This window comes from Homo sapiens, chromosome 2, assembly GCF_000001405.40.
Source record: "Homo sapiens chromosome 2, GRCh38.p14 Primary Assembly".
NCBI classification, from domain to species: Eukaryota; Metazoa; Chordata; class Mammalia; order Primates; family Hominidae; genus Homo; species Homo sapiens.
In genome coordinates, this window is record NC_000002.12 from 98,410,457 (window position 1) to 98,422,761 (window position 12,305).

A 12,305-nucleotide genomic window follows, 5' to 3' on the forward strand; every position below is an offset into this window, starting at 1 on the left:
CTATTCAATGAGTCTATTAATCTTGAATTTAGTGGCGAGAGACTGAATCAATTAATAAACAGTAAAACCCTGCCCTGGTTCACTAACAATAATGCTAAATCAGAACAAAGAAGCTGGAGAATTTCCTTAATCAGCGATAGACAAGGAGAACCTTACAAGATTGGTCCTGAGCTCCAGAGAAGCCAAATATCTGGGTGGGATGTAAATACTTGGGCTTATTAATGAGGTTATTCTGATCTAGGATTTTTTTTTAAATTTCTATTTAGATTCCAGCATACTGTGGCACTTCTTTCTCATAACCTCATCTCCTGAAATATGGTTTTTTTTTTTGTTTGTTTGTTTGTTTGTTTTCTGAGACAAGGTCTCGCTCTGTCACCCAGGCTGGAGAGTGGAGAGCAGTGGCATGATCATGGCTCACTGCGGCCTCGACCTCCTGGACTCAAAGGATCCTCTCACCCCCACCTCAGTCTCCCAAATAGCTAGGACCACAGGCACATGCCACCATGCCCCACTATTTTTTTTTTTATTTTTTGTAGAGACGGGGTTTCACCATGTTGCCCAGGCTAGTCTCGAACTCCTGGGCTCAAGCGATCTGCCTGCTGCAGCCTCTCAAAATGCTGGGATTACAGGCGTGAACCACTGCTCCCAGCCAAATATGTTCATCTTTATAGAAAAGTAGGCTTTGGGCTGGCACAGTGGCTCATACCTGTAATCCCAGCACTTCGCGAGGCCAAGATCACCAGAGGTTGGGACTTTGAGACCAGCCTGACCAACATGGAGAAAACCCGTCTCTACTAAAAATACAAAATTAGCAGGGTGTGGTGGCGCACACCTGTAATCCCAGCTACTCGGGAAGCTGAGGCAGGAGAATCGCTTGAACCTGGGAGGCGGATGTTGCAGTGAGCCGAGATAGTGCCATTGCACTCCAGCCTGGGCAACAAGAGCAAAACTCTGTCTCAAAAAAAAAAAAAAAAAAAAAAAAAAGGAAAGAAGACTTTGGAGAGGTCCCAGGCCCTCACATTCTATCCTTGGATCATGTGAGGGTGAACACCTGCAATAATAAGGGTATTCAGAGAGAGGCCTGGCAAAGGTGGAGTTTGCCACAACCTGTACCCACCACCTTAGATGCTGTTCTTCTGAAAGAGTGAGCAGAAAGGAGCCTTCCAAAAAGCCTGTTCAGGGGTTCTCAAAGCCATGTTCCATGGAATACGTGTGTGAGTCACACAAGTACTTTGCTTTGGAATTTAGGAAGAGCAGTCTTTTGCCAATTTTCAGAAAAAAGTAATGGCTTCAATTTTTTTCATTTTTCTTCCATAAAAGTTTCTGTAACTTTTGCTCCATGGTATTACTAGTCATTTACTGGCCAACAAAATGCGTTAAATGCATTAATAGCAAATCATATTAATTAAGATAATGCTAGCCACTGTGATGAATAACCTCCCAGCATTTGGTGGCTTGATGCAATGCAAGGTTCTCACTCAGCAACAGTGCAGTATGAGTGCTCCCAGATGGCAGGGCTCCAGGCACTATTTTTCAGCTTTGCCCTTCCCTCAGAGTGCAGAGCTCTGCAGGCAGCCTGCAGGCAGGGCAGGGGAGACGGAAAAGGTACATCTGCTTCATATTCACCTTGTAGAAGAGACACGTGTCACTTCTATTGGTGAAAGCTTGTCACATCTAGAAGCAAGTGGGGGTGAGTGGAGAAGAGGGAGGGGAAATTGTGATCCTTGACTAGGTGGCCACTTCCCAGTGACAACTCTGCTCTCTGGAAAGGGAACAGTCACAACATAGATATCTAGTTGTCCATGCAAACTAAAATCAGCTAAGAAAACCCTCAGAATTCACATAATTCCACAGCTTCCTTTCATGTGTTCATATTTGCTCTCAAATTTGATGCTATTTCATATACACATAATAGAGTCAGTCATATTTTCTGCCAGCTAAATATGCCAGGAAAACTGAGTCACCCCTTATATAAGTGCTGGGTAAGGAGGTGATCAAAAGTTGTCAAAACTGGGCCAGGCACAGTGGTTCACACCTATAATCCCAGCACTTTGGGAGGCTGAGGCGGGTGGATCACCTGAGGTCAGGAGTTCAAGACCAGCCTGGACAACATGGTGAAACCCCATCTCTACTAAAAACACAAAATTAGCCGAGTGTGTTGGCCGGTGCCTGTAATCCCAGTTACTCAGAAGGCTGAGGCAGGAGAATTGCTGGAACCAGAGGGGTAGATGTTGCTGAAATCACACCACTGCACTCCAGCCAGGGCGACAGAGTGAGACTCTGTCTCAAAAAAAAAAAAAAAAAAAGGAGTCAAATTACCATAGGAAATCTCTTGAATTGCCCTCTGCATACAGTCTGGTTAGGTCCTCCATAACCAGTATTCCCTTCAGTGGAGCAGATTGATCACTCTTTGGCTGGGACCCAGAGGAAGGAGTCAGCTTGTTTTTAATGACCATATTCAGGAATGCCACATATGGTTGCTCTAGTTGTGCACTGCCCAAAAGGGACCTTCTTAAGAGGTGTCCCGCAGTCTCGCCATCATGGATTTTTTTGATATTTACTATGGCAGATTTCCAGCAGATGGCAGTAGAGGGTCTATGCTAATGCGCCGTATACTATGACAATTCTTGAGGGCAGAAGGTCAAATTCTTATCTAGACAGGGCTGCTTTGCATTAATCCTTTTCCCATAACAACAGAGACATGGGTTCTTAATCAGAACTAATGTTTTGACTCCCACCAGACTTGCAGCATACTGGCAGCAATATTTATTGAATTCATTTCTGAGTTCTTTAGCATATATTTAACTTAGCCAGTAACAGTTGCCAGTGGAGAACATAGCTTCTCAAAATTAAAGTTACTTTAAAACTTCTTAAGATTTACAATGTTGCAGGAAAAACTGGCAAGTGCAATGATCATTTCTATTAAAAAAAAAGAGAGAGAGATCACGGAACACATATGCATTAAAACTGTTGAAGAATTTCATTTCCACAAAAGCAAAATGTGCATCTATTTCATGACAGATTAATAAATCTTAGTGATTTTGAGTCACTGTTACCAAGAACTTGAAACTTCTATTTTATGTTGGATGTTTTACATAATTTTAAACAATGGCTTTATGTTTGTTATCACTGTTCATATTGAAAAATTAATACTATATCAACTTAAATAATACTGTGTGCCTGGGTCCTGGGGTGGTGGCTGTCAGTGTGGTGAGCTGCTCACTATCTGAGATGCTCTCAGGATCCCCGCTCATTTCAGCAGCAGAACACCAGGCAGAATCTTCACAACTGTTCAGATTATTTCTCCCCTCCCATGCAGTCCCAGACTCAGAGAGTTGGATTTGGAGGATTTAAACAAGCAAGTGGTACTGTTGCGGGAAGTCAGGGACCCTGAACGGAGGGACCTGCTGAAGCCGTGACAGAAGAATATAAATTGTGAAGATTTCATGGACATTTGTTAGTTCTCCAAATTAATACTTTTATAATTTCCTATGCCTGTCTTTACTTTAATCTCTTAATCCCGTTGTCTTCATAAGCTGAGGATGTATGTCACCTCAGGACCCTGTGATGATTGCATTAACTGCACAAATTGTTTGTAAAGCATGTGTGTTTGAACAATATGAAATCTGGGCACCTTGAAAAAAGAACAGGATAACAGCAATGTTCAGGGAACAAGGGCGATAAACATTAGGTCTGACTGCCTGGGAGCCAGGTAGGACAGAGCCATATTTCTCTTATTACTGCAAACGGGTAAGAGAAATATCGTTGAATTCTTTCCCCAGTAAGGAATATTAATAATTAACAGCCCTGGGAAAAGAATGCATTCCCGGGGGGGGCCTCTAAAATGGCCGCTCTGGAGGGTGTCTGCCTTATGCAGTTGCAGATAAGGGATGAAACACACCCTGGCCTCCTGCAGCACCCCCAGGCTTGCTAGGATTAGGAAATTCCAGCCTGGCGAATTCCAGTCAGACCGGTTCTCTGCTCTTGAACCTGTTAAGATGTTTATCAACGACAATGCGTGCACAGCAGGACATGGAACTTCATTAGTAATTCTAGTTTCACCGTGACCTTGTGATCTCACCCTGACCTTCTGCCTTGTGATCTTTTGTTGCCCTTGAAGCATATGATCTCTGTGACCCACACTCTATTTGTACACTCCCTCCCCTTTGAAAATTGCTAATAAAAACTTGCTGGTTTTACGGCTCAGGGGGCATCATGGGACCTGCTAACATGTGACGTCTCCCCCGGACACCCAGTTTAACATTTGTCTCTTTTGTACTCTTTCCCTTTATTTCTCAGACTGACTGACAGGGAAAATAGAAAAGAACCTACATTGAAATATCGGGGGCTGGTTCCCCTGATATGGTACCATGTTTCCAGACGTTTTGTCAGCCAAAGGCACTGCGTTCAAGGCTCTAGAGGGGGGTTAACGTTGCTGCCAACAGGCTGCCTTCAGGGCTATTGCATCTCCCTGTGCCTGGAGAAATTTGTTGCTCACAGCTCTGGAGGCTGGGAGGTCCAAGATCAAGGTGCCAGCAGATTCGGTGTCTGGTGAGGGCCTCTTCCTGGTTCAGAGATGGCATCTTCTCTTTGTGTCCTCACATGGTAGAAGCAGTGAATGAACTCTCTAGGCCTTCTTCTACAAGAATATGAATCCCATTCATGGGGACTTTACCCTTCTGACTTAATCACCTTCCAAAGGACCCGCTTCCTAGTATCATCACCTTAGGGGTTAGGATTTCAACATACAAATTTGGGGGGAACATCCATGTTCAGTTCATTGACACAGGCATTTCATGATGAATGGATTTCACAAGACTACAACAAAGCAAGACTTTTAAGAAAAAATCCATGCCCATGGCATGGGTCTTTAAAAGTTGCCTGTCCCTAAGACAAGGCAGTTACACCAGAAACCAGGCTTTGTGTCTAGTAACTGCTACACAGTGGCAGCTGTAGTTGACAAGAATCTGATGACAGCATCCTTAAATGTGTGGCAACCCTGAAGCTCACTGGCTCCCAGACAATGATGGCTTTAGATTCTGAGGATGAGCTCTTTTTAAAAAGGAAGCATGGGCTGAACATGGTGGCTTATGCCTGTAATCCCAGAACTTTGGGAGGCCAAGGTGGGGGATCACCCGAGGTCAGGAGTTCGAAACCAGCCTGGCCAACATGGTGAAACCCCGTCTCTACTAAAAATACAAAAATTAGCCAGGCATGGTGGTGTGTGCCTGTAATCCCAGCTACTTGGGAGGCTGAGGCAGGAGAGTCGCTTGAACTCAGGAGGCAGAAGTTGTGGTGAGCCAAGATTGTGCCACTGCACTCCAGCCTGGGCAACGAAAGTGAGACTCCATCTCAAAATAAAAAAAAAAAAATAGCATGTATTTCAGGCCGGACATGGTGACTCACACCTGTAACCCCAGCACTTTGGGAGGCTGAGGCAGGCAGATCACTTGAGGTCAGGAGTTCAAAACCAGCCTGGCCAACATGGTGAAACCCCATCGCTACTAAAAGTACAAAAATTAGCTGGGTGTAGTGTCACACACCTGTAACCCCAGCTACTCAGGAAGCTGAGGTACGAGAATTGCTTGAACTGGGGAGGCGGAGGTTGCAGTGGGTGGATATCGCACCACTGCACTCCAGCCTGGTTAAGAGAATGAGACCCTGTCTTCAAAAAATAATAATAGTAATAATAAGCCGGGTACAGTAGCATGTGCCTGTTGTCCCAGCTATTCAGGAGGCTGGGGCAAGAGAATCGCTTGAGCCCAGGAGGTAGAGGTTGCAGTGAGCCCAGATCACCCATTTTACTCTAGCCTGGGGGATAAAAGTGAAACCCTGTCTCAAAAAAAAAAAAAAAATTCAAAGCTCTTTTGACAGTTCCTTTGAAATAATCCTAGTTCTGTTTCACCAAGGCAATGACTGTAAGATGAGAATTTCAAGATTTTCTTAAATGTTGGAAATTTTTTTAACTTCAGATATACTTTCAAGTGTTAAAATGAAATTTTAATTCATATGTTAACAGAAATCTTATACTCCCAGTAAAATTGCCTAAGACTAGACAGTTATGAATGACACATTACAAGTCATTTGGATGGTATTTTGCCATGGGTTCTGGTATAGCCACTGAGCCATGTGGACCAGCTCTTCATGGTTGATGGCAGCAGTTGTAAATCTTAGACCCAGACAACAAAGTTTGCTTTGACAGAATGATTTAATTTTTCCATCCATTTTGGGTGGTTATGCAAATTTTTATTCATACATTTGATTTGCCAATGTTGGATTTAAGCACAGTCCATATCTTTCCTAACTGAATCAGAGGAGAGAAATCTTGTGCGTGTGACTGTTGTATACAAAGACAGGCTAATAATCAGGGAAGAGAATTCCAAGAACATTTTTGCCAGTGCCTGGAGTGGTTTTCCAGCATAAGGGAAGGGTTGGGCTGAGCTGTGCACATCTTCCCACCCATTATCTCCCCCTGGGTAGGGGAACATGAGTCAAAGACAGATATAACTAGTTAGAGTGGGATGCAACAGCTCTTCTCCATGCAAACCTCAGCTTTCAGGGGGCTGTCAGTGAGGCATGGTTTGGTCTTTTTAGCACATTATTTTCAGTAATAAGTCAAAATGCCAAAGCAAGAATGCCACTGACATCATTTGTAGGATTTAAGATCCAATGGCTAATAATAAAGGAACTTCGGTGTGTTTTTCCTTCTTGGTGAGTGGGCTGGCTTTTGGTGATAGGGTAATGGTTACATCACCTTCTCTTCTTCCTCACCTCTAGGTGAGGCAGTGAGGGACTCACCCTCCTCTCACCACACCATGGCCTCCTTACCTACCAGCCACCGTTGAAGTTAGGCTGATGAGGTGAGCAGAAGTGGTGTCGGTGTCTGAGTGTGACTGTCCCATGATTTTCTCCTCATTTGCAGTGGCTGTGCAAGCCTTGAATTAAAGAACCTGGATCAGAAGGAGAGGGGTGCATGATGAGAAATTAGTTAATGGGTACTATGCACATTATTCAGGTGATAGATAACCTAAAAGCCCTGACCTGACCACCATGCAATCTATGCATGTAACAAAACTGCACATGTGCCCCATAAATTTGTACAAAAACAAAAAACAAGAGCCTGGATCTCTGAGCCATTACTGCCACCCACGAGACTGTGATATAATTAAGAAATAAACCTTCACTGTGTAAAGCCAATGACATTTGATATTTGCTGGTAACTTTTTATAATATTTGCCTGTGTTAGTCTGTTTTCACACTGCTGATAAAGATATACCCGAGACTGCACAATTTACAAAAGAAAGAGGTTTATTGGACTTACAGTTCCACATGGCTGGGGAGGCCTCACAATCACAGTGGCAGGTGAAAGGCACGTCTCATATGGCAGCAGACAAAAGAAGAGAGCTTGTGCTGGAAAACTCCCATTTTTAAAACCATCAGATCTCGTGAGGCTCATTCACTATCATGAGAACAGCGCAGGAAAGAACTGCCCTCATAATTCAATCACCTCCCACTGGGTTCCTCCCACAACGTGTGGGAATTATGGGAGTTACAATTCAAGATGACATTTGGGTGGGGACACAGCCAAACCATTTTACTGTCCTTGCTTTTTTCTCTCTGCAGATATCCTAAAACTTTTTTTCTAAGCCAAGGAGCACTAGAAAGCTTTTGGAGGTGATGAATATGTTTATTACCTTGATTGTGGTGATGGTATCACAGGTGCATGCATATGTCCAAATTCATCAAATTGTGCACATTAAATATTTGCAGTTTTTTATATATCAATTTCACCTTAATAAAGTTGTAAAAAAGATCTGAATATGGAAGGAAACATTTTCCTTCCTGTGCCAGTGAGTAGGGGTTATATTTTTATATATTGTCATTTCCAAATCTGCCTCCTGAGCTGCAATGCTCCTGAGGGTGCTGTCCTCATCCTCAGGCTCTGATGGTGTACTCTGCCCATCACCACACATAACACCTTGGGTCCAGAGACCTAGCAGTTATTACTACCTGTGGGATGGCCAGGGATGTCCTCGGGTAGGGGAGAGATGTGGGGAGGATGAATGGGGGGGGATAAAATTATACCCACATTCAGATGGGGAATTGAGGCTTAGCAAGACGAAGTCATGTATGTGTCCAGAGCATACAGCTTTGAAGCCAGGTAAGGATTCCATGCTAAATTATGCTAAAAGGAGTAGGGTCAGCTTGACAAGTTCAAGCTGAATGTGTCCAACTGCTTTCCTTGCAAATTTACTGTGATTCTGTAGAAAACATTGTTTTTTCAAATTATGGGCTGCAATTCATTACTGAGTGATTAAATCAATCCAATGATAAGTTTTAGGAGAATACAATAGAAAACAACAGATCGCATTGGCACCATTCTTTAAAGTATTGCCCCTGAAAGTTGTTTGTTATTCACATACACACGTGTTTGATTGAGGTGTGCACCACATCTCTGGCGACAGATAGCAGTCAACAGAGTCTGAAATCACTGTGAGGAGAATTAGGCTTTAAATATTTGTGAAGTTAAGAGAATTTTTAAAATGTTACCTTTGTGGGTAACTTGTGATGTCCAATGAGCCAGCCCTTAAAAATTTCCCTCTGTTCCTTTGTCCTAAGAGCATGAGGTGAAAGAGGCTGCTTTATTTACTCTATCTTGGAAGGCATTAATGCCAGCCTGCTCTGGCAACCAGATCTGCTCCAGCCCTCCAACACACAGGCCTGAGGATTCCTCTAGTATACCTGAATCTTTCCTAAGGAATTGGCAATATTAGAAACAGGAGTCATCCTTACCAAACATCCCATCCCAAAGACCTCCCATATCCTGATCCTCAATGTACCAAGAAATGCTTCCATCTTTCCAACGGCCAACCACACCTTCCCTCTTCCCTCCACACCCAAGGAATCCTGTATCCACTATCTCATTTCATCCCTCCCTAATCTCAGCCTGCTTCACACGGGACAGTCCATTTTAGCTGGAGAAGAGAATATAATATGACGCCTTTTTAAGGGTAGTAAGTAAAGCAGAGTGATTGAGAAAGAAAAGAAAATTCACAGTGTGCAAGGAACTGGACATTTGCATGATATCTACAGCACTGTTTCTTAGACCTTAATGTGCATGCAGATCATTTGGGGATCATGTTAAATGCAGATTCTGACTCAGTAGGCCTGGGCCTGACATTCCATATTTCTAGGTTCCCTGGTGATGCTGATGCTGCTGGTTCACAGAGCACACTTTAAGTAGCAAGCGTCTGTTTGCACAGGGGCTGGCACAGAGTGGGCACTCAAACATATTTACTTAATTGAATTAAATTGTAGAGGAATTTGGGCTTTATGCCAGGACTCATCAGCAAGAAGAAGTGTGCTAAGGTAAAGCAATCAGCTAAACCACCAGCTCATAATCCCAGAATCACAAAAATTCACCCAGGGAGTCATTTAAAAATTCCAGTGCTTAGGACCCCGTCTTCAGAGATGCTGATTTAATTAGCCTGGGGTGAAGACTGGACAACCAACATGTTAAAAATATTTCTAAGTGATCCCAATATGCAGCCAGGTTAGGGAAACACTGAATTCAGTGAAACTGTGTCGTTGCCTTCTATGTGTCAGGCATCGAACTCTGAGCAAGGCACTGAAAGTACAGAGCTGACTGAGACCAGGTTTCTGCCCTCAGCAAACTAATAGGGGAAATAGGTCCACACGTGACTCCAAAGCAAAAAAGCGCTACAGTATACTTATGAAAACTGTTTTGGGAATACAGATGAGGAAGGAACTGATTCAGCCTGAAGGAAGTGGGAGGAAAAAAGGCCAGTGACCAAGAGTGAAGACATTTGGATTTTAAAGGATGGCTGGGGGTTGCCAGGCAGATATGTTCTGTTCTTCCAAATCTCTGTTCTTCCCCATTATTGGCCAGGTAAATAATGCTTGACCAGGACTCAGGCTCCCAAATTCTGTACTAGCTGCCTCCTGCTGCCACAGGTTTATGACAAAGATCTGTCCACAGGGAATAAGGTCAATCCAATGAATATCCTTTTTTACCAGCTGGGGATATTTGTAAGGCCATGTACACGCTGTTAGTGTGCTGTCTGAGTCAGAGTGCAGTCAGGAAAACAGCCCACATCAGATATTCGATACAGTGAAATTAATGGGGAACTAATTATTTGATAGAGTTGCTGAAAATCCAAACAAAGAATCATAAAGCAACACAGATATTAGCAAATGCAGCATGCCCAAAAGCTCAAGGGATGCAAGGAGGTGATGGGATTAATAAAACCCAGGGGTCAGAGATGTCTGACAGGAGCTGGAATCACAACAGAGACTGCAGAGAGGGAGCTGGACTGACCAAGGAGATGGAGCCATTTCCAATAACACGAGAATGACACCCAAGGGGGAGGCCAGAGGGAGACAGCTGCCTTTCCCTTCCTTCTGCTCCACAGTCTCCCATTAATGCATCCCATTGGCTAAATCCAGCCAGAAGACAGTTGACAAAGAAGCCTAGGTGATATAGTTTTCAGGAGTTGGCCTCTGAAGGGTAGGGAGTGAATCTGGGTGTTTGTAAGCTTAACTCATGTATTCTAGATATCTGGCTGAAGGCTTACACCAAAAGTGGACTGAGTAATTTCCTTGTCCCTCTCCCCTACACCTAAAACTTTATCTTGGCCCAGAGTAGAACTTATCATCTGGTGTACTGGAGACACTTGGGTCAGAATCCCCAAGCAGGGCACCTCAAGCTACAAGTGGATTTTTTCATTTACCCTAGGATGCTAGACAAATATATATGATCTGTGTGCCACGGAGTAAACACATTTCAGAAGCAATACTATAAGAACAGGCAAAGAAAGAGGGATTAGAGGAAACTCACATCTAGGAAGCTTCTCCTTGAGCAGAGTGAGCGTCAACCGCCCAAAGTGAGGAGTTCCAAGATGAGGCAGTTCCAGACTCAACCAATAGTACTAGCAAAAAGAAAAGCAATCAAAGAAGACAGCCACTATCGAAGGAGAGAAATGTGATTAAAATCCATTTTCTTCACATAATCCTGATGAAGGATGACTTAAAATAAAACCAAAAGTTTCCAAGCATCAGGTTTTGATATAAATAACAGGGCTCTGTAGAATGTTCTGTATCATAAACAATTGTTTCTTTCAGTTCCTATTGTCAGGCCTCTGAGCCCAAGCTAAGCCATTATATCCCCTGTGACCTGCACGTACACATCCAGATCTCCGGTTCCTGCCTTAACTGATGACATTCCACCACAAAAGAAGTGAAAATGGCCTGTTCCTGCCTTACCTGATGACATTGTCTTGTGAAATTCCTTCTCCTGGCTCATCCTGGCTCAAAAGCTCCCCCACTGAGTACCTTGTGACCCCCACTCTGCCTGCCAGAGAACAACCCCCCTTTGACTGTAATTTTCCTTTACCTACCCAAATCCTATAAAACGGCCCCACCCCTATCTCCCTTCGCTGTCTCTCTTTTGGGACTCAGCCCGCCTGCACCCAGGTGAAATAAACAGCCATGTTGCTCACACAAAGCCTGTATGGTGGTCTCTTCACACGGACGCGCATGAAACCTATACCCACAGAAACAAAGTGTGACACACACATGGGGAAAAAAACAGGCAATGGAAACTGCCTAGGAGAGGGCCCAGATTGAATTGAACAGACAAAGACTTTAAGTCTATCATTACAAATGTGTTCAAAGAACTAAAGCAAACCAGGCTTAAAGAAGTAAAAAAAGGATTATGACAATGTTTCATCAAGCGGACAATATCAATAAAGAGACTTTATTTTAAAAAAATTAAAATTCTGGCATTAAAAAGTACAGTAATTGACATGAAAAAAATCACTAAAAGGGCTCAACTATAGATGTGAATTGGCAGAAGAAAAGAACAGCATAATTGAAGATAGGTCAATAGAGAGTATGAAATCCAAAACAGAGAATAAAGAATGAAGAAAAAGAAACACAATCTTTAAGAAATGTGGAACACCATTAAACATATCAACATACACTTAATTGGAGTAACAGAAGGAGAGGAGAGAAAGGAGCAGAAAAATTCTACCCATCCAAGATCAACCAACTCTAAGTAGAATAAATGCAAAGAGATCCCCATGTACAAATGCATCACAGTAAAAATGCTGAAAATGAAAGACAAAAGGAAAATTTTGAAAGTGGCAAGAGAAAATGACTTGTCACATACAAAGAAACCCTAATAAGAATGACATCTGATTTCTTATAATAAATTATGGAGGACAGGAGGCTATGGGATAGCATATTCAAAGTGCCCCCCCACCAAACAGCCAAGACTCATATCC

General features: G+C 43.2%; 1 annotated feature.

Annotated features, from left to right (window-relative positions):
• Positions 2,684 to 2,733: an enhancer, noted in NCBI's record as "active region_16257". NCBI's record gives its function as "activates an Ori minimal core promoter by ATAC-STARR-seq in GM12878 lymphoblastoid cells {active_cell/tissue: GM12878}" and the evidence as "EXISTENCE:reporter gene assay evidence [ECO:0000049][PMID:35858748]".